The 23,528-nt window shown below is 36.2% G+C and overlaps 1 protein-coding gene across 31 annotated transcripts in view; it reads right to left on the reverse strand.

The window, feature by feature from the left end:
- ZDHHC21 (zDHHC palmitoyltransferase 21) overlaps positions 1-23,528 on the reverse strand; it is a 104,636-nt gene that overhangs the window by 76,017 nt on the left and 5,091 nt on the right. For 4 of the 31 annotated variants that reach the window (NR_148716.2, XR_007061286.1, XR_002956779.2 and 1 more), the window contains exons 3-5: positions 15,220-15,349; positions 9,374-9,572; positions 8,017-8,115 (exon numbers count right to left, since the gene is read on the reverse strand). Coding sequence is in view for 13 of the 31 variants with exons in the window: in NM_178566.6 (NP_848661.1) it covers positions 8,017-8,115; positions 9,374-9,527 (253 nt within the window). In the remaining 18 variants the exon portion in view is untranslated. Of the gene's footprint in view, positions 1-8,016; positions 8,116-9,373; positions 9,573-12,484; positions 15,350-18,753; positions 18,917-23,433; positions 23,495-23,528 lie in introns of those variants that run through there. The other 27 variants (NR_148715.2, XR_007061288.1, NM_001354124.2 and 24 more) reach the window with 19 other exon arrangements.

Consider the following 23,528-nt stretch of genomic DNA (forward strand, 5'->3'; position numbering starts at 1 on the left):
ACAGAAAGGACATCCACACCGAAAACCCATCTGTACATCACCATCATCAAAGACCAAAAGTAGATAAAATCACAAAGATGGGGAAAAAACAGAACAGAAAAACTGGAAACTCTAAAATGCAGAGCGTCTCTCCTCCTCCAAAGGAACGCAGTTCCTCACCAGCAACAGAACAAAGCTGGATGGAGAATGACTTTGACGAGCTGAGAGAAGAAGGCTTCAGACGATCAAATTACTCTGAGCTACGGAAGGACATTCAAACCAAAGGCAAAGAAGTTGAAAACTTTGAAAAAAATTTAGAAGAATGTATAACTAGAATAACCAATACAGAGAAATGCTTAAAGGAGCTGATGGAGCTGAAAACCAAGGCTCGAGAACTACGTGAAGAATGCAGAAGCCTCAGGAGCCGATGCGATCAACTGGAAGAAAGGGTATCAGCAATGGAAGATGAAATGAATGAAATGAAGCGAGAAGGGAAGTTTAGAGAAAAAAGAATAAAAAGAAATGAGCAAAGCCTCCAAGAAATATGGGATTATGTGAAAAGACCAAATCTACGTCTGATTGGTGTACCTGAAAGTGATGGGGAGAATGGAACCAAGTTGGAAAACACTCTGCAGGATATTATCCAGGAGAACTTCCCCAATCTAGCAAGGCAGGCCAACGTTCAGATTCAGGAAATACAGAGAACGCCACAAAGATACTCCCCAAGAAGAAAAACTCCAAGACACATAATTGTCAGATTCACCAAAGTTGAAATGAAGGAAAAAATGTTAAGGGCAGCCAGAGAGAAAGGTCGGGTTACCCTCAAAGGGAAGCCCATCAGACTAACAGCGGATCTCTCGGCAGAAACCCTACAAGCCAGAAGAGAGTGGGGGCCAATATTCAACATTCTTAAAGAAAAGAATTTTCAACCCAGAATTTCATATCCAGCCAAACTAAGCTTCATAAGTGAAGGAGAAATAAAATCCTTTACAGACAAGCAAATGCTGACCAATTTTGTCACCACCAGGCCTGCCCTAAAAGAGCTCCTGAAGGAAGCGCTAAACATGGAAAGGAACAACGGGTACCAGCCGCTGCAAAATCATGCCAAAATGTAAAGACCATCGAGACTAGGAAGAAACTGCATCAACTAACGAGCAAAATCACCAGCTATCATCATAATGACAGGATCAAATTCACACATAACAATATTAACTTTAAATATAAATGGACTAAATTCTCCAATTAAAAGACACAGACTGGCAAATTGGATAAAGAGTCAAGACCCATCACTGTGCTGTATTCAGGAAACCCATCTCACGTGCAGAGACACACATAGGCTCAAAATAAAAGGATGGAGGAAGATCTACCAAGCAAATGGAAAACAAAAAAAGGCAGGGGTTGCAATCCTAGTCTCTGATAAAACAGACTTTAAACCAACAAAGATCAAAAGAGACAAAGAAGGCCATTACATAATGGTAAAGGGATCAATTCAACAAGAAGAGCTAACTATCCTAAATATATATGCACCCAATACAGGAGCACCCAGATTCATAAATCAAGTCCTGAGTGACCTACAAAGAGACTTAGACTCCCACACATTAATAATGGGAGACTTTAACACCCCACTGTCAACATTAGACAGATCAACGAGACAGAAAGTCAACAAGGATACCCAGGAATTGAACTCAGCTCTGCACCAGGCAGACCTAATAGACATCTACAGAACTCTCCACCCCAAATCAACAGAATATACATTTTTTTCAGCACCACACCACACCTATTCCAAAATTGACCACATAGTAGGAAGTAAAGCTCTCCTCAGCAAATGTAAAAGAACAGAAATTATAACAAACTGTCTCTCAGACCACAGTGCAATCAAACTAGAACTCAGGATTAAGAATCCCACTCAAAGCCGCTCAACTACATGGAAACTGAACAACCTGCTCCTGAATGACTACTGGGTACATAACGAAATGAAGGCAGAAATAAAGATGTTCTTTGAAACCAACAAGAACAAAGACACAACATACCAGAATCTCTGGGACGCATTCAAAGCAGTGTGTAGAGGGAAATTTATAGCACTAAATGCCCACAAGAGAAAGCAGGAAAGATCCAAAATTGACACCCTAACATCACAATTAAAAGAACTAGAAAAGCAAGAGCAAACACATTCAAAAGCTAGCAGAAGGCAAGAAATAACTAAAATCAGAGCAGAACTGAAGGAAATAGAGACACAAAAAACCCTTCAAAAAATCAATGAATCCAGGAGCTGGTTTTTTGAAAGGATCAACAAAATTGATAGACCGCTAGCAAGACTAATAAAGAAAAAAAGAGAGAAGAATCAAATAGATGCAATAAAAAATGATAAAGGGGATATCACCACTGATCCCACAGAAATACCAACTACCATCAGAGAATACTACAAACACCTCTACTCAAATAAACTAGAAAATCTAGAAGAAATGGATAAATTCCTCGACACATACACTCTCCCAAGACTAAACCAGGAAGAAGTTGAATCTCTGAATAGACGAATAACAGGAGCTGAAATTGTGGCAATAATCAATAGTTTACCAACCAAAAAGAGTCCAGGACCAGATGGATTCACAGCCAAATTCTACCAGAGGTACAAGGAGGAACTGATACCCTTCCTTCTGAAACTATTCCAATCAATAGAAAAAGAGGGAATCCTCCCTAACTCATTTTATGAGGCCAGCATCATTCTGATACCAAAGCCGGGCAGAGACACAACCAAAAAAGAGAATTTTAGACCAATATCCTTGATGAACATTGATGCAAAAATCCTCAATAAAATACTGGCAAACCGAATCCAGCAGCACATCAAAAAGCTTATCCACCATGATCAAGTGGGCTTCATCCCTGGGATGCAAGGCTGGTTCAATATATGCAAATCAATAAATGTAATCCAGCATATAAACAGAACCAAAGACAAAAACCACATGATTATCTCAATAGATGCAGAAAAGGCCTTTGACAAAATTCAACAACCCTTCATGCTAAAAACTCTCAATAAATTAGGTATTGATGGGACGTATTTCAAAATAATAAGAGCTATCTATGACAAACCCACAGCCAATATCATACTGAATGGGCAAAAACTGGAAGCATTCCCTTTGAAAACTGGCACAAGACAGGGATGCCCTCTCTCACCACTCCTATTCAACATAGTGTTGGAAGTTCTGGCCAGGGCAATTAGGCAGGAGAAGGAAATAAAGGGTATTCAATTAGGAAAAGAGGAAGTCAAATTGTCCCTCTTTGCAGATGACATGATTGTTTATCTAGAAAACCCCACTGTCTCAGCCCAAAATCTCCTTAAGCTGATAAGCAACTTCAGCAAAGTCTCAGGATACAAAATCAATGTACAAAAATCACAAGCATTCTTATACATCAACAACAGACAAACAGAGAGCCAAATCATGAGTGAACTCCCATTCACAATTGCCTCAAAGAGAATAAAATACCTAGGAATCCAACTTACAAGGGATGTGAAGGACCTCTTCAAGGAGAACTACAAACCACTGCTCAAGGAAATAAAAGAGGATACAAACAAATGGAAGAACATTCCATGCTCATGGGTAGGAAGAATCAATATCGTGAAAATGGCCATACTGCCCAAGGTAATTTACAGATTCAATGCCATCCCCATCAAGCTACCAATGACTTTCTTCACAGAATTGGAAAGAACTACTTTAAAGTTCATATGGAACCAAAAAAGAGCCCGCATTGCCAAGTCAATCCTAAGCCAAAAGAACAAAGCTGGAGGAATCACACGACCTGACTTCAAACTATACAACAAGGCTACAGTAACCAAAACAGCATGGTACTGGTACCAAAACAGAGATATAGACCAATGGAACAGAACAGAGCCCTCAGAAATAATGCCGCATAACTACAACTATCTGATCTTTGACAAACCTGAGAAAAACAAGCAATGGGGAAAGGATTCCCTATTTAATAAATGGTGCTGGGAAAACTGGCTAGCCATATGTAGGAAGCTGAAACTGGATCCCTTCCTTACACCTTATACAAAAATCAATTCAAGATGGATTAAAGATTTAAATGTTAGACCTAAAACCATAAAAACCCTAGAAGAAAACCTAGGCATTACCATTCAGGACATAGGCATGGGCAAGGACTTCATGTCCAAAACACCAAAAGCAATGGCAACAAAAGACAAAATTGACAAATGGGATCTAATTAAACTAAAGAGCTTCTGCACAGCAAAAGAAACTACCATCAGAGTGAACAGGCAACCTACAAAATGGGAGACAATTTTCGCAACCTACTCATCTGACAAAGGGCTAATATCCAGAATCTACAATGAACTCAAACAAATTTACAAGAAAAAAACAAACAACCCCATCAAAAAGTGGGCGAAGGACATGAACAGACACTTCTCAAAAGAAGACATTTATGCAGCCAAAAGACACATGAAAAAATGCTCATCATCACTGGCCATCAGAGAAATGCAAATCAAAACCACTATGAGATACCATCTCACACCAGTTAGAATGGCGATCATTAAAAAGTCAGGAAACAACAGGTGCTGGAGAGGATGTGGAGAAATAGGAACACTTTTACACTGTTGGTGGGACTGTAAACTAGTTCAACCATTGTGGAAGTCAGTGTGGCGATTCCTCAGGGATCTAGAACTAGAAATACCATTTGACCCAGCCATCCCATTACTGGGTATATACCCAAAATGACTATAAATCATGCTGCTATAAAGACACATGCACACGTATGTTTATTGCAGCATTATTCACAATAGCAAAGACTTGGAACCAACCCAAATGTCCAACAATGATAGACTGGATTAAGAAAATGTGGCACATATACACCATGGAATACTATGCAGCCATAAAAAATGATGAGTTCATGTCCTTTGTAGGGACGTGGATGAAATTGGAAATCATCATTCTCAGTAAACTATCGCAAGAACAAAAAACCAAACACTCCATATTCTCACTCATAGGTGGGAATTGAACAATGAGATCACATGGACACAGGAAGGGGAATATCACACTCTAGGGACTGTGGTGGGGTGGGGGGAGGGGGGAGGGATAGCATTGGGAGATATACCTAATGCTAGATGACGAGTTAGTGGGTGCAGTGCACCAGCATGGCACATGTATACATATGTAACTAACCTGCACAATGTGCACATGTACCCTAAAACTTAAAGTATAATAAAAAAACAAATAAACAAAAAAAAACAAAACAAACAAACAAAAAAACTTTGAATTCACACATTGCAAGGAATATAGACAGGAAGGAGGCGCTCCACAACGAGCCAATTTTCACTAAAAGGCGATATAAAAATTTGTTTTTATCAGCCACTTAAAACATAAACACGGTGTATTCATTATTGGTAATTTCTGAGAAATCAGCATATAATATCCTAGAGAATAAATTCTTCATTTTATATCTAAAATGTATTCTCAGAAGAGAGCACTTGGCAATAGTTAGAGAAAGCCTACAATTTTGTAATCTAGACCACAGATACAAACTACAGTCTGCAGGCAAATCCAGTCTACCACCTGTTTCTGTATGACCTATGAGCTAAGAATAATTTTTACAATTTTAAATTATTGAAAATAACAATTTGTGACATGTAAAATCATAAAATTCAAATTTCTGGGTCCATAAACAAAGTTTGATGTACCCATCATTTACATATTGTCTATGGCTGCTTTTGTGTTTCAGTGGCAGAGCTGAGGAGTTGTAATAGAGACTGTATGGCCCATAAAGCTGAAAATATTTACTACGGGCCTTTATAGTAAAGAAGAATTTATTTGCTAATCTATGGTCTGGACCATAAATTGATTTAAAGAAAGAACTTGAGTCATTCCTTTGATAACATGAAGATATTACATAAGTATCTAAAATGAGAAATACCTGTAAAAACTCACAGTTTCACATATCTATATGAACACATACATATCTATATGTTTAGGGAACAGAGGAGAAATCACTATTGTCAAAAATCCAGCAATTTAATTGATCATCTAGAAGGTGCTTTTGCCTTGTGTAGCAAGAAAAAAAATCCATCCATCTTAACACACCCTACATATCTCTAAAGCCTTTCTTAGTCATTTCCCTTTCCTTCCTTTACTCATGTCCACAAAGGATCTTGGCGACTGATACATTCTGATGTCTAGTGATTTTTGTACTAGCCAAGTAATAATGTTTTTAAAAAGACTATGAGAAAAAGAATTCAACTGAAAATTTATGATAGCTTTAAAAAATTAAAAGCTAACAGATACATTTTTAAGGGAGAGAAAAATCAAAATATAAAACAAAACCAAAAAAAAGGCAAACTCCATGACTGAGGCTGTTTAATGTGAGTAAATACATCATTTTGTTTAACCTGGAGATTTACTAATGCTGTGAATGCTTGAATGAATATAATGCAATGCTTGGTTTGTTTGACCCTCAGAAAGGAAGGAATCACCTTCTACATGAGTCTTTTAAAAGACTCTCATTTTAAGGGACCCTCACTCAATTAATACATTTAAAATCACTATGTAATGCTTTGAGAAGAAAAACATTACTTGAAATTACCTAAATCAATACAAAGTTTGGGTCCTAACAGAGATTCCCTAACAAGAATCAGTTGTCAATGTAGGAAATAAATGTCAGTAAGTCTCTCACAGATCACCTTTAAAAAGCAATGTAAGAGGGAGGATCAAACTAAAACTATGAGTGAATACATGACCCTGATTACTGAATACAGGAATCCTTAGAGCTTGGGGTAAATTTTTGAGAGACTGCATCAAAACAGGACGCATTTTTTTTAACTTGAAAGAATTTCCACTGTAATGCTATGTCAAAAAACATGGCTCTAGTAATGACAAAACCACATGTCGAACATTCAAGTGAAAAACTCGATTAAAATGTTCTAAAGTTGATTGCAGTGATGGTTACACAACTGTGGGCATACAAAAACCCATAGAATTGTACACTCTAACTGGGTAAATTATATGGCATGTAAATTATACTCAATAAACCATTTTTAAACATAGTTAAGAACTTGAATAAAATTTCATAAAATATGAAAGTGATAAAAATATTTCTAACTGAAGGTGTTCATTTTGTTTTATTTCAAATACACACATGAACAATTCAAGTAATATAAACAAACATGTAACTATTTCATTTGACTGTTTCATCTATATGCTCAAAAGTTTATAAAGTCAAATTCTGGGAATCTTCTCATGGGAAAATGGAACATTTCCTTATATTCAAATTGCCTCATATTTAGTGGGTCACATATATACTGAAGTCATTGTGTTTTAAAAAAGCAGAAACGCATGTAAAATACTTCAGAGTAATTCAATAAAAAAATAGTTAAAATCACCAAAGTATTAGGACTTCAAGATCCCTTTTTTGAAGAATTCAGTTATATGAAACTGCTCAACCTTTAAACATTCCTGAATAAATGTCACTATTCTACAGTTTCAACTCTCTAGGCATTCAATATTATCTTTCACTGTTAAAATTTTGTATTTTTTTTTACTAAATTAAAATCATATTTACAAAAGAATCAGGTAACCAGCACCAAAAAGTACATTATGACTTAAGTTTTCCCCAGATTCGTAACAAAGGTGAATAAAAAGCTAAAATTATCTCTGTACATAGATCCATGGTAATAAGATGACAGAGACAAGGTTCTGGGTCTTTGGGCTGGATCGCACACCAACAACCAGATGTTTAACCCAGGAAGGACAATCTATGCTCCTGACCACCCAGCCTACCTACCTCATACAATTACCATGAGGATCATATGATATGTGATACAGAAGCCAAGAGATGGGGTGTGGTGAAACTGCCGGGGTGCAGGGGGAGCAGGGTTGCAATTTTAAGTAGAGAAGTTTGGAAAAGACACATACAAGCAAAGACATCAAAGTGGTGTTAGATGACATTTATAACCAATATATATTAAAGGCAATAAAATATGTAAATAAAGACAGTAATTCTGGCATCAGCAAAACTGATAAATCCAGAGTACCATACCTCCATGTGGGATCTTGGGGTTCTCAGGGAGTCTTCCTGGATCAGTTATGGAGGCCCTCACTAAGGCAACCAGACAGAATATGGAAATGCCATAGAATACTTTAAAATAAATAAATTAAATAAATTAGTCACTTACCCTTCAAAACATTTTATCAACAATCATATTTAAAGTTTAAAATGTATATTTTAACAAACACCATCAGGAGAAAAAATTTCAAAAGATTAAAAAATAAATAATTGATTTCACTCACCAAATAACACTGTCAGGAGGACTATCTTAAATAGTCCTAATTTTAATCATTACTAATTTTAATTATTATTTTACATGATAGTAACTCAAAGTTCTTATAAATCAGATCCCTTAATAACAGGGACTTCCTATTAATAATGGCATAAATGAATAGGCTCCCGTTTAATTACTGCATGTTCTATATTTGAAAGGATCAAAATACCATTTTAAATTCTACAACTAAACTTTTTCATTAACTAACTGGGTATCTTCAATATTACTCTGAATTAGTGATGTTCAACTGTCCCTTTTGATGGATCTTAAAATGATTAGTTTGATAATTAAGACTTAGAAACTTTTTAATTTTAAAATTAATAACCAGAAAACAAAAATAGTAAGGGAAAACAGATTTGGCCACCATAATTCTACATTTTTAAATTAGTAAGAATAGAGAAATTCTGTTGGGGCGATAAAAAAAAAAAACATACTGTACATGTAAAGGGAATAGTCTGAGTGCTCAATCCAGGACTGACTGCATAGTACCGGTCAGTTTTATCATATATATATAAAATTTCCCATGGTTCGTGTGAGGTCAAAATGAGGTAATGTGCATGAAAACTGTAAATGCCATGTACATGTAAAATATATAATTTCAATTTATTTTAATCATAAGCAAGCCATCACCAATTGACTAATAACTATCCAGAAGTTCCAAGTGTTATCATAATCAACTTCGTAATCAATACTTTTCTTATGAAATTCTCACTTCTCAGTAATGTATACTGTCTCTATTCTTAAAACATCTACATTTGTAATTAGGTACAAAACAGCAATAATAAAAATACAGAGAGACATGCAAGTTATCACTACTGTGTCAGTTTTCTATTTTTAACAAAATGGTCTTCATGCACTTTGCAGTTAAAAATGGAGATATCACTTTTATCTAACTGCAAATCTATAAAGGCCATTATTTCCATAAGTTCATAAATTAGTAAATAACTGAATATTGACAGCACTGCTAAAATACTAAATATATTAAAAGGAAAGTTATCATAGTGGCACTACACCCCAAAAACGTTTACAATGAGAAAAATAATTATACAAGAAAATAAAGATCAAGAAACTTACTTATTATTAATATGCCTGGAATATGTCCTTCTTCATAGTGAGGAAAGAGGACAATTTTGGGAATTAAAACAATATTGTATAACCAAACAAAGACAATCAAACCCATGCAGCACCAACCATGTGGGTCAACAACAAAGTGAATCCGGAGACCCATTTTGCAATCTTATAACTGCCTGCTAACCCACAAGGAAGGATGATCCTAAGGAGAAGGAACAAAGAAAATAATTACTTACATAGAAAAATTTGACTAAAACCTGTATTTCTGGCAACTTTTATAAAATGACATTGAGTTTTCTTTGCATATTTGACATTTTCTTTCTGTAGTTGATATATTTATTGATATTTCTTTGTATATATATTTTTACAATAAATACTTGGGAAAACAAACAGAAGTTTCAGGATATTCAAATTTTATCATAAGCTTCAAATAATTTCAATGTTTCACTATGAACTGCTATCACAGGTATAAACTGGAATCATCTACTGAATTTAAAACACAAGTTTGTCCTTAACCCAGCAACTTCCTGTGTAAACCCAAAAGAAATGAATACACGTGTCCACCAAAAGATTATGTACAAAAATTTTTAGTAGCTTTAATCAGAAGACTGATGGGTCACACAAGTCAAAACAGTGGTTACCTTGTGGTTGCAGGGGTGTATATTAACTGAAAAGGAACATGAGAGAACGAGGGGTTGGGAAACGTTCCATATCTTGACCTGGGTGGTACTTTATGTGTATCTACATATGTAAACATTCACTGAGCTGTATACTTCAGATTTGTGCACTCTAGTTTAATTTTAAACTACAATAAAACATTTTTTAAGTATTTTGAAAAATGACAATAAAAAGTGAAAACTAATTACAAATTGCCAAAAATACTAAAATTCATAGAATGAAGCCCAACAAATCTCATTATGATCAACTGAAGAAGACTCCTGTTTAAATGAGGCTTTTTTTAGTTGAGTGTTAACAATATGCCAACAGATCTCTCAATGAGACACTTAAGGACTTAAAATACTTCTATATAAATATGGTACCAAAAAAGTGACTAAAAATACATCCATACTTTGGTAGATATAACTTCCAAGGATGAAATAATAAATTGCTGTATAAAGTCTAGGGGGTACCTTTTACGTAAAATACAATGGTATAATAATAAACTAGGACAACGGTTCTCTAGCCTGTAAGAAAACCAAAAACACCTGGGGAGCTTTTTAAAAATACATATTCCCAGACCCCATTCTACATCTACTGAATCATAATTCTTCATAAAACTCAAAAAACAATAAAATGTTGTAAAATGCTCTGCAAGAGTCTGAAAACAGCTGACTGGTGTCTAGGAAGCACTGACCCATGAGCTTCACTAACACTTCAATGTTACCACAATGAGTTGAACTCACTTAGTTCAACAAATATTCACTGAGCCTCCACTACACACCTATCACTTGCTAGACACTGCAGATACAATGATGAAGAAGACATGGTCTTTGCTTAAAGGAACAGTCTAATGGGAAAAAGAATCAGAAAAAAGATTTAATATAATATGGTAAGTTCCAGATTTGAAAACAAAATGTTAGTAGGGGCACAGAAGATGGGACCAGTTAAACGAGGAATCAAGTAAGACTTACTGTAAGAAGTGAAACCTGAATTCAGTCTTAGAAGGTTAGTAAAAGTTATCTAAGCAATGAAAAGTGACAAGAATACTGCAAACAGAAGGAATAGGAGGAGCAAGAGTAGAAATTGTGGGAGGTATTACAACCTGCCATCACAAATCATAAAGCTTTCTGTGGAGAGTGAGTGCTAAGAAATATGGGCCTATATCATGAAGGACATAAAGATGCCATGTTAGAATGCTAAGACTGAATTCTTCGGCAATGGAAAGCTATTGAAGCAGGGGATTAACATGACGAAATGTGTACCGTGAATAAATTACTGAAGCTCTGGTGTGAATGATAAAATTAAAGACAGAGGTCCATTAGGCTAAGAGAAGGCAAAAGCCAAAATTAGGTTTGCAGAAAGGAGCAACTGCTAGAATCGAACCAGTGTGTTTTTCTGGTTGATTAGATATTAGGGGTTACAGGGGAAAGTGTCAAGGGTGATTCCCAGATTTTCAGCCTATATCCCAGTCTACTTCATTCTAAGAACAATTCATAATCAATTGAAAAGCCTCAGGGCACCATCCCTTAGAGGCCTTGCCCATGTTCTTCAAAGCTATAAAGCTACTGAAACAAAGAAAAAGAGATTAAGGAATACTTGATTTTAAAGGAATACCCCCAGTTTCTCATCCCTAGTTCCTGCAAATATTGGGGCAGCAGAAAAAAAACAAAAAACAAAACAAAAAAAGAACTCAAATGTAATACCACTTAATAGTTTAAATCCGGTATGTTCTAACTTGTGTATGAATTCTAAAACAGAAATAGTGCCCAGGCCACTAAACTAATAAAAGTTTCATTTATTTATCTTTTAATTTAAAAATCAAAAGACAGATTGGTATCATTAAAATGAAGAAAGTCAGACAGGATAAAGCATGCTATTTAATTTGCTAAGAATCATTTTAATAAAGGAATCTCAAATACAAATGGTAAGCTATCTACACAGTTAAAAAGAGAAACATTCAAGACAATGTTAATTTTTTAGTCTTGCCAATTATCAAGTGCTAAAAGAAATGACAAGTGCTCTCTCAACGTGTTCAATATTATTAATTTTATGTACCTTTCTTTCTTTAATTTTTCAGTTCTATTCAGGACTAAAAACAGAACATGAATTTCACTAAGTATATATGAGAGTAGCTTAAATTTATTAACATTAGAAGCAGAAAAGTACATGAGCCAGCAAAACGACTGGCAAAATTATCAAATATTAATTTTTGAACTCTATTTTTATTCTCCTCTACTAGAGAACAAATTTTTCTTCATCACTGGAAGAGATCTCTCACAGCAACAAAAAATTACATAGTGAAAAGTATAGTTTAAAATATGTCCATTTTTCCTGGATGTAAACATACATAGATGACACTCTCTAAAAGAGCAAGCATCCCTAAGGAAAAGTGAGCACAGGATAGAAAAATAAAACAACAAACAAATAAGATGTTGAATATATTTTTTTTAATACCTGATTGGTAAAACTTAGCTCCACATAATCCTCTCAATTGGGTCGTAGAACACAAAACAGTGATCTTCCAAGTGCTCCAAATCAGACGACAAACCACAAATGCATAACTGGAAGAGGTGCAAGATCTCTCCACTCAATTAATATCTACCAGGCGTGGCTTATGGCTGAAGAGAAACTATTACACATCCTGAGCAACAACCAAACTGAACACAATGCTGTTACTCGGTCTTAAGGACAGCATTCATAAAATACTTTCATTAGCTGGAGATTCTGACATACTAATTTGTATATTAAATGGTGAGCTCTTAACTCAAAACTCTGATTAAGTAACTAGTGGATATACTGGTACTTCAACATTTTTTAAGATTGCTATCTGGTAACTATAGTTGACTACAGTGACTAAATGATGTAAATTACTACAGCACAAACTTTAAAAACAATTATAATTTAACTCTAATAAACCAGACTGAGTAAATATTTATAATGTTCAACTTACTCCAAAGGAATACCACTATTTTTTGCCTTTTCAGGCAACTGTATTTCACCATATATTCTCCTCAAGAAGAATATTCAAGTCACCATGAAAATGACAGAAAACTATAACATCAAGATGTAGATTTTAGAAAAGCATAAAGATTAGCCAAAATAATTACCAAGAAATCTATCCGAACACGTATGTCTATGCTTACAGTTTTACGTGATTCTTCACCTTAGCCTAAGCGGTCCTGTTTACCACTGTTCGACGATATTCCATCCATGCCTCCTGTCTGAAATGTGCCTACCATTCTGCTTACTCATCTAAATTCAACTCAGACTTCAAGGCCAATTTGAATCTCACTCTCCATTTGAAATTTTTCCTGGCACTTCAGTTCACAATGATTTATCTTTTTCTTCTAAATTTCATTAAAAGGAAAACTATTAGAATAGCAAGTGGTTTTATATTCTTGGAATAAGGAAGGCCTTCACAATGAAGACCAATCAACCATGTCTGACCACATAAAAATTAACACATCTGAAGCCCAAAACACATGAAAAGCAAAGTTAAAAGACAAAGCATTCCTGGAAAAAATACTGCAACACATGACCGACAAGAGGCATACAACATAAATATATAAAGAAGCAATTCACAAAGGGAAAAAAATCCAATGGCTAATCATTACTGATTAGGAATTAACAAGGTACATTTTTCATCTACTGTATTGAAAAACTTTTAGAAAGATGATATCCAATGTTAAGAGGGCACAGAAAAAAAAGGACACTCTCATACATTATTGGTGGGCATGTAAGCTGATACAATCATCCTGGGAGGGCAATTTGGCAGTATGTATCAAAAGGTAAAACTCTTTTACACAGCAGTTTTATTTTTAGTATTACCTAAAAAGTACTCCTGAGACTGTATATATACAGACAAGGATGTACAAGGATACAGCACTTTCTGTAATCACAAAAATATGGCACAATCTAAATGTCCATGTAGAGAAAAGGGAATGATCAAATAAATTCTAATACACCCATAGTGTAGACTATTTCCAAGCTATTGCAATTTTTTTTAAGGCAGAAAAGAAGGCAGATTTAGATCTGCATATAACTACCCACAACATACTGCTGAGTGAATAAAGCAAGTGATATAGGCAAAATCCATTAGGAGTGGAGAGGGAACAGACCGTAACCGGTTTTTCTGGAAAGAGACAGGGATAGAGACAGACCAGGAAGAGGCATGAGGGAACTCTCTGTGGTGCTAACAAGCATGTTTCTATTGATAATGGAGTCTGAGTTACAAAGATGAATTTATCAAAACTCAGCATATGTACACTTAAGATTGTTGCATGTCATGGTACGTAAATTTACCTTTAAGAATCTGTAAACCAATACAGAGATCTAGTTAGCAATATGTATACTGAATTATGTAGAGAGGAAGCATACTGACATCTGCAATTTACTTTGAAATGAATCCCCCATATTAATAACATAGTGGACAGAAAGACAGATGAGTATGTGCTGAAATTTGTTAAAATGTTAGGTAAGAATCTAAGTCATAGGTATTCCGATGTTAAACAAAATTCTTCCAATGCTTCTGTTTGAAATTTTTCAAAATTAAGTGTTCGGGAAGCAACTTATAGAATAGTTTATATAACATTTTTGTTAGAAAAAATATGCAGGTATGTGCATAAGTAATTTCTGCACAAGTGCAGGAAGAAAAGACTGCAAGAAAACAGACCAGCCAAACTGTTCTCAATGGGCTGAAAGAGAAAGGAGTAGTGAAAAGGAAGGCTTTCAAATATTTATGTGTTCTTCTAAGTTTATCAACAACCATGTACTTCTAAATTCTTTTCAATTAACTTAAAAATAAAGATAACCTAAGAGACACTAAACTTACAAACTAACTGTTTAATTTAGGCCTCTTTGTCACTATATATTATCCTTATAGTAAATGCTTTTAAAATTAATATTTTTAAAAATGAAGTACAGAAGGATTCGCTGTAAAGCCATATAAGACTTACGATTCAGAAAGATGTTTCTGAAACTCATATTATTTACAGATTATTTTTCTCTATAGAAAAAGTCTTATTTAAGAAAACAGGTTTGGTTAAAATTTAGTATAAAAACTTTTAAATAAACATAAAGTAACTACATTTGCTAACTGACAATTAAGTGCATCTAAGCATAAGACTCCAAGGATACTATGGCCCATAATTCCAAAATATATCACCATGTAAAATCAAAAGCAAACTTACCACTTGCAAATTCACTGAGATGTGCTGTAATTTTTCTGGAATCTGCATTTAGAGATTTTCTTTTGATTCATTTTTTTTAATTATATCCCACCAAATGGATCTCTCTTCAATAACAGTTCTCCATGAGAACCTATTCATGGTTTAACAAACAATGATTTCTCACAAAGAAAAAAACGATAAGCAACTAAATATTCTAACTGTGGAAATGCCAATGACAAACGTCTTAAATTTAGAAATAACAAAAAAGAAATTCAACTCCATTTGATTCTGTGCTTTCATATCCCACCCATCCCCTCAGAATTTGCATTTGATTACAATTATATCTGAGAGTCTTTTAAAACCACCCACTTCCCATAAAATCAAATAAGCATTATACTTCCCATAAAATCAAATAAGCATTATATGTCCAGTATTTGGACTTCATCACACACTTCCTTGACCACAAATCACAAAATAACGATAGATTCTGGTAGAAGAATCTAATCACAGTTCATAAACAGCTTAAAATGGAAGTTTTAATTTAAAATGCTTTAAGAAAGTTAATCCTCCTGTAATGAAGCCATTAAGAGAGTCAAACATAAGTCAGTTTCTACAATTCAAGCTTAAAAAAACATACTGTAAAGTACTGTATATAACATATACTAATTCACTATTTTATTAATTCAATCAACACTTAACTACTATACACTATACCTACTATGCTTTAACACAGGGTATAGATGAAAAAGAGAGGCTCTATCTTCAATGGAGGCAGACTAGCAAACAGACAAGACCAGTAAGACAAGTTAAGACAGAGAGCAAGGGGACAAAACTGTTATCTCATATGGTAAGGATACTGGTTCATAGGTTGTGTTACAAAATGTATTTCTTATGGTAAATAGCCATCAGGAAAAGATTCCTGAAGACAACAAACCCTGTGAGGTAGCTAGATGAAGAAGGCAGACTCTTCAGACCAAGACAACAGAATAAGCAAAGGCATAAAGGCAGGCAGAGAAAATCTGAGTAAACTGAAATAACAAGAATCACTGCATACAGAATGGGGTAAGATGTTCATCCTTTTGACCACAACCAACTCTAATAAATTTTATAACATTACTAGTACGCACAGATATATATGAATAACTAAAAAAGTTTAAGGAAGTGATATTTACCCTTACTACATATGACACGTGATGATATTGCTATTCTATTTTACTCTTTTTTATTTTTTCAGACTCGGTCTCACTATGTTGCCCAGACTGGAGTGCAGTGGCTATTCCCAGGTGCGATCCTAGCACACTGGGCTCAAGCAATCCTCCTGCCTCAGCCTCCTGAGTCACTGGCACTACAGCTGGGTACCACTGCAACCTATTTATTTTACTTTAATAAAAATGTACAATGCTGGTCATAGCCTACTAAACCAATTTCATGACCCACAGGCAGATCCTCAGATTGAAAATCACTGTTAAACCATGCCAGTGAGTTTGGATTTCACCTGGAACACAGTGGAAAACCACTGAGGGATTTTAGGCAGTAAAATGCCATGATCAAATTTGCATTTTAGGAGGAAAAGACACAATCTGAGGGCTGAATTTTGGTGGACTGATAAAGCACTGACATTGACTACATGCAACTAGGTAGGTTGACTGTTAACCCCGTGAGAAATGATGAGGGCACATGGAGTAAGCACCCCAAAAATGGTAACTTATAAGGGGAATGGTGTGTGTGTGTGTGTGTGTGTGTGTGTAAGTGGGTGGGGTAGTGACACTTAAGACAGGAGGCATACTAAAAATGGGCAGATCGAAGCCCATCAGACTAACAGCAGATCTCTTGGCAGAAACTCTACAAGCCAGAAGAGAACGGGGGCCAATATTCAACATTCCTAAAGAAAAGGATTTTCAACCCAGAATTTCATATCCAGCCAAACTAAGCTTCATAAGTGAAGGAGAAATAAAATCCTTTACAGACAAGCAAATGCTGAGAGATTTGGTCACCACCAGGCCTGCCCTACAAGAGCTCCTGAAGGAAGCATTAAACATGGAAAGGAACAACCGGTACCAGCCACTGCAAAAATATGCCAGACTGTAAAGACCACAGATGCTAGGAAGAAACTGCATCAACTAACAAGCAAAATAACCAGCTAACATCATAATGACAGGATCAAATTCACACATAACAATATTAACCTTAAATGTAAATGGGCTGAATGCCCCAATTAAAAGACACAGACTGGCAAATTGGATAAAGAGTCAAGACCCATCAGTGTGCTGTATTCAGGAGACCCATCTCACGTGCAGAGACACACATAGGCTCAAAATAAAGGGATGGAGGAAGATCTACCAAGCAAATGGAAAACAAAAAAAGGCAGGGGTTGCAATCCTAGTCTCTGATGAAACATACTTTAAACCAAAAACATCAAAACAGACAAAGAAGGCCATTACATAATGGTAAAGGGATCAACTCAACAAGAAGAGCTAACTATCCTAAATATAAATGCACCCAATACAGGAGCACCCAGATTCATAAAGCAAGTCCTTAGAGACCTACAAAGAGACTTAAGACTCCCACACAATAATAATGGGAGACTTTAGCACTCTACTGTCAACATTAGATCAACGAGACAGGAAGTTAACAAGGATATCCAGGAATTAAACTCAGCTCTGCACCAAGAGGACCTAATAGACATCTACAGAACTCTCCACCTCAAATCAACAGAATATACACCCTTCTCAGCACCACATCGCATTTACTCCAAAACTGACCACATAGTTAGAAGTAAAGCACTTCTCAGCAAATGTGAAAGAACAGAAATTACAACAAACTATCTCTCAGACCACAGTGCAATCAAATTAGAACTCAGGATTAAGAAACTCACTCAAAACCGAACAACTACATGGAAACTGAACAACCTGCTCCTGAGTGACTACTAGGTACATAACGAAATGAAGGCAGAAATAAAGATGTTATTTGAAACCAATGAGAACAGACACAACATACCAGAATCTCTGGGACACATTCAAACCAGTGTGTAGAGCGAAATTTATAGCACTAAATGCCCACAAGAGAAAGCAGGGAAGATCTAAAATTGACACCCTAACATCACAATTAAAAGAACTAGAGAAGCAAGAGCAAACACATTCAAAAGCTACCAGAAGGCAAGAAATAACTAAGATCAAAGCAGAACTGAAGGAGATAGAGAGACAAAAAACCCTTCAAAAAAATCAATGAATCCAGGAGCTGGTTTTTTATTTTTTATTTTTGAAAAGATCAACAAAATTGATAGACCGCTAGCAAGACTAATAAAGAAGAAAAGAGAGAAGAATCAAATAGACGCAATAAAAAATGATAAAGAGGATATCACCACCAATCCCACAGAAATACAAACTACCATCAGAGAATACTATAAACACCTCTATGCAAATAAACTAGAAAATCTAGAAGAAATGGATAAATTCCTGGACACATACACCCTCCCAAGACTAAACCAGGAAGAAGTGGAATCTCTGAATAGACCAATAACAGGCTCTGAAATTGAGGCAATAATTAATAGCTTACCAACCAAAAAAAAGTCCAGGACCAGATGCATTCACAGCCAAATTCTACCAGAGGTACAAGGAGGAGCTGGTACCATTCCTTCTGAAGCTATTCCAATCAATAGAAAAAGAGGGAATCCTCTTTAACTCCTTTTATGAGGCCAGCATCATCCTGATACCAAAGCCTGGCAGAGACGCAACAAAAAAAGAGAATTTTAGACCAATATCCCTGATGTACATCGATGCAAACATCCTCAGTAAAATACTGGCAAACCGAATCCAGCAGCACATCAAAAAGCTTACCCACCATGATCAAGTGGGCTTCATCGCTAGGATGCAAGGCTGGTTCAACATACGAAAATCAATAAACGTAATCCAGCATATAAACAGAACCAAAGACAAAAACCACACGGTTATCTCAATAGATGCAGAAAAGGCCTTTGACAAAATTCAACAGCCCTTCATGCTATAAACTCTTAATAAATTAGGTATTGAAGGGACGTACCTCAAAATAATCAGAGCTATTTATGACAAACCCACAGCCAATATCATACTGAATGGGCAAAAACTGGAAGCATTCCCTTTGAAAACTGGCACAAGACAGGGATGCCCTCTCTCACCACTCCTATTCAACATAGTGTTGGAAGTTCTGGCCAGGGCAATTAGGCAGGAGAAGGAAATAAAGGGTATTCAATTAGGAAAAGAGGAAGTCAAATTGTCCCTGTTTGCAGATGACATGATTGTGTATTTAGAAAACCCCATTGTCTCAGCCCAAAATCTCCTTAAGCTGATAAGCAACTTCAGCAAAGTCTCAGGATACAAAATCAATGTGCAAAAATCACAAGCATTCTTATACACCAACAACAGACAAACAGAGAGCCAAATCATGAGTGAACTCCCATTCACAATTGCCTCAAAGAGAATAAAATACCTAGGAATCCAACTTACAAGGGATGTGAAGGACCTCGTCAAGGAGAACTACAAACCACTGCTCAATGAAATAAAAGAGGAAACAAACAAATGGAAGAACATTCCATGCTCATGGGTAGGAAGAATCAATATCATGAAAATGGCCATACTGCCCAAGGTAATTTACAGATTCAATGCCATCCCCATCAAGCTACCAATGCCTTTCTTCACAGAATTGGAAAAAACTACTTTAAAGCTCATATGGAACCAAAAAAGAACCCGCATTGCCAAGTCAATCCTAAGCAAAAAAAACAAAGCTGGAGGCATCACGCTACCTGACTTCAAACTACACTACAAGGCTACAGTAACCAAAACACCATGGTACTGGTACCAAAACAGAGATACAGACCAATGGAACAGAACAGAGCCCCCAGAAATAATAGCACACATCTACAACCACCTGATCTTTGACAAATCTGACAAAAACAAGCAATGGGGAAAGGATTCCCTATTTAATAAATGGTGTTGGGAAAACTGGATAGCCATATGTAGAAAGCTGAAACTGGATCCCTTCCTTAAGCCTTATACAAAAATTAATTCAAGATGGATTAAAGACTTACATGTTAGACCTAAAACCATAAAAACCCTAGAAGAAAACCTAGGCAATACCATTCAGGACATAGGCATGGGCAAGGACTTCATGTCTAAAACACCAAAAGCAATGGCAACAAAAGCCAAAATTGACAAACGGGATCTAATTAAACTAAAGAGCTTCTGCACAGCAAAAGAAACTACCATCAGAGTGAACAGGCAACCTACAGAATGGGAGAAAATTTTTGCAATCTACTCATCTGACAAAGGGCTAATATCCAGAATCTACAAAGAACTCAAACAAATTTACAAGAAAAAAACAAACAACCCCATCAAAAAGTGGGCAAAGGATATGAACAGACACTTCTCAAAAGAAGACATTTATGCAGCCAAAAGACACATGAAAAAATGCTCATCATCACTGGCCATCAGAGAAATGCAAATCAAAACCACAATGACATACCATCTCACACCAGTTAGAATGGCGATCACTAAAAAGTCAGGAAACAACAGGTGCTGGAGAGGATATGAAGAAACAGGAACACTTTTACACTGCTGGTGGGACTGTAAACTAGTTCAACCATTGTGGAAGACAGTGTGGCGATTCCTCAAGGATCTAGAACTAGAAATACCATTTGACCCAGCCATCCCATTACTGGGTATATACCCAAAGGATTACAAATCATGCTGCTATAAAGACACATGCGCACGTATGTGTATTGCAGCACTATTCACAATAGCAAAGACTTGGAACCAACCCAAATGTTCATCAATGATAGACTGGATTAAGAAAATGTGGCACATTATACACCATGGAATACTATGCAGCCATAAAAAAGGATGAGTTCATGTCCTTTGTAGGGACACGGATGAAGCCTGAAACCATCATTCTCAGCAAACTATTACAAGGACAGAAAACCAAACACCACATGTTCTCACTCATAGGTGGGAACTGAACAGTGAGAACATTTGGACACAGGAAGGGGAACATCACACACCGGGGCCTGTCGTGGGGTGGGGGAGGGGGGAGGAATAGCATTATGAGAACTACCTAATGTAAATGACGAGTTAATGGGTGCAGCAAATCAACATGGCACATGTACACCTATGTAACAAACCTGCATGTTGTGCACATGTACCCTAGAACTTAAAGTATAATTTAAAAAAAAGAAAATAAATAAAAAAAGAAAGAAGAAATTAAAAAAAAGAGAAGGGGCAGATCTGGGAGAATTTAAATAAATAAAACTGACAGGACTTAGTGATCAATTGGGAGCAAAGGGCAGACTAGGATGGCTCCCAAGTTTCACACTTAGGCTCTAGGTGAAGGGTGGAACCATTCTCCAAGACAGGGAACAAAGGCCAAGTTACAAGTGTGTTAAGTGTGCTGGTTACCACAGCAACAGCAGACTATTAAATACTGAGAATGTAAAAAATACATCAAAATTATTACATTTCTTTTCCCTTTATACATTTGTGGGGGGCACAGAACCTGTATATCCTCCCAGGGTCAACTTTTCTATGGTCCATAGTTATTAGATCGTCAAATGAACTTTGTTTCTACTCTTAACTTTTTAAGCTAATTTAAAGTGGGCTCCTTGGTTGCACCTTTGCTTTTTAGAGACTAAACACAGAATTACAAAGTTAAAGTCTGGGTATAGTGGCTCATGCCTGTAATCCCAGCACTTTGGGAGGCCGAGGTGGGAGGATCACTTGAGGTCAGGAGTTCAAGACGAGCCTGGCAAACATGGGAAAACCCTGTCTCCACTAAAAATACAAAAATAAGCTGGGCGTGGTGGTGTGTGCCTGTAATCACAACTACTTAGGAGGTTAAGGCACGAGAATCGTTTCAACCCAAGAGGCAGAGGTTGCAGTGAGCAGAGACTGTACTACAGCACTCCAGCCTGGGCGACAGGGCGAGACTTCATCTCAAAAAAACAAAAAAAAAAACAATGTTAAAGAGCTGCTACCCCAATGGCAAATAAATGAATTATTTCAGAAAAAAATTCAAACAGAATTAAATGTGGTACAACCAAACATTTTTGAAAGATGGCCAAAAACAATAATGCTACTAAGTCTATGACTTGAGAGTGGCTTCCTAATGTTTCAGCAAAATAGTAGTTTCTGTCAGTAACGTTAGTAGGTTATAGCACAGGCCAATCACCCATGAGTCAAATCCCAGTCACTTGCTGGCTTAAAATCAAGAAAAATCCTACTTTACATTTATAGTTATCAGAGCTACACTGCAGACACAGCCTCTGAAATGAGATTCGTATTTCAGTACTAGATAAACACCACTACCTCTGAGAAATGAAATCTCATCTATGTGGTAATAAAAGTAATGCTGGGCCGGGCATGGTGGCTCATGCCTGTAATCCCAGCACTTTAGGAGGCCAAGGTGGGCAGATCATCTGAGGTCAGGAGTTTGAGGCTGGCCTGGCCAACATGTTAAAACCCCGTCTCTACCAAAAATACAACAATTAGCCAGGCATAGTGGCGCCCGCCTGTAATCCCAGCTACTCGGGAGGCTGAGGCACGAGAATCGCTTGAAGCTTGAACCCAGGAGGCAGAAGCCGCAGTGAGCAGAAATCATCGTGCCACTGCATTCCAGTCTGGGTGCCAGAGTAAGGCCCTGTCTCAAAACAAAACAAAACAAAAGTAACGTTGGGCCTAAACATTCAAAAAATTGGAACAACAAAACAATTTCAAAGTTTCAAAACTATAAAATGTCATTAAATATTTTTAATATTGCTACGCCTGAAAGAATACAATCTAACAATTTACAAGCTAAGTTTTCAAACATACCAATTTTTTTTCCACAGTGCCAAGAGAAAATGCTTATTAGATGAATATATGAAATTTTAAACTTATTAATTACAGCCAAATGAATTTAGAAAGCAGAGTTACAGCTGTAAACGTATTTATAAAACTTTTTGACTTCTGATATCATTCTACTCTGAAAATTAGTCAAGTGTGGCAGTTAAATAATTCTCCATAAAAATCAAGCTCTCATTGCCAATTAGGAATTCAATTTTTTAAATATCACATAGATATTCAGTTGATTATCAACAGATTAAAAAATTAATCTTCTACAGATGTTAAAAGAGAAATTATGACATAGTCTCTTATTCACTTTCCAAGCTTTAGTTTCTTTTCAAGCTTCAGTTTGACCATCTGTAAAATGGAGATAAAAATGTCAACTTACACAGTTGCTGTCACGCTTAAATGAGAAATTGACTGGCAAAGCAGCGCCTCCAAAATGCTAACTTTACAGGGGAGCGAAGGAGAGAGCAGAGGAAG

This window comes from Homo sapiens, chromosome 9 (assembly GCF_000001405.40).
Source record: "Homo sapiens chromosome 9, GRCh38.p14 Primary Assembly".
Taxonomy (NCBI): Eukaryota; Metazoa; Chordata; class Mammalia; order Primates; family Hominidae; genus Homo; species Homo sapiens.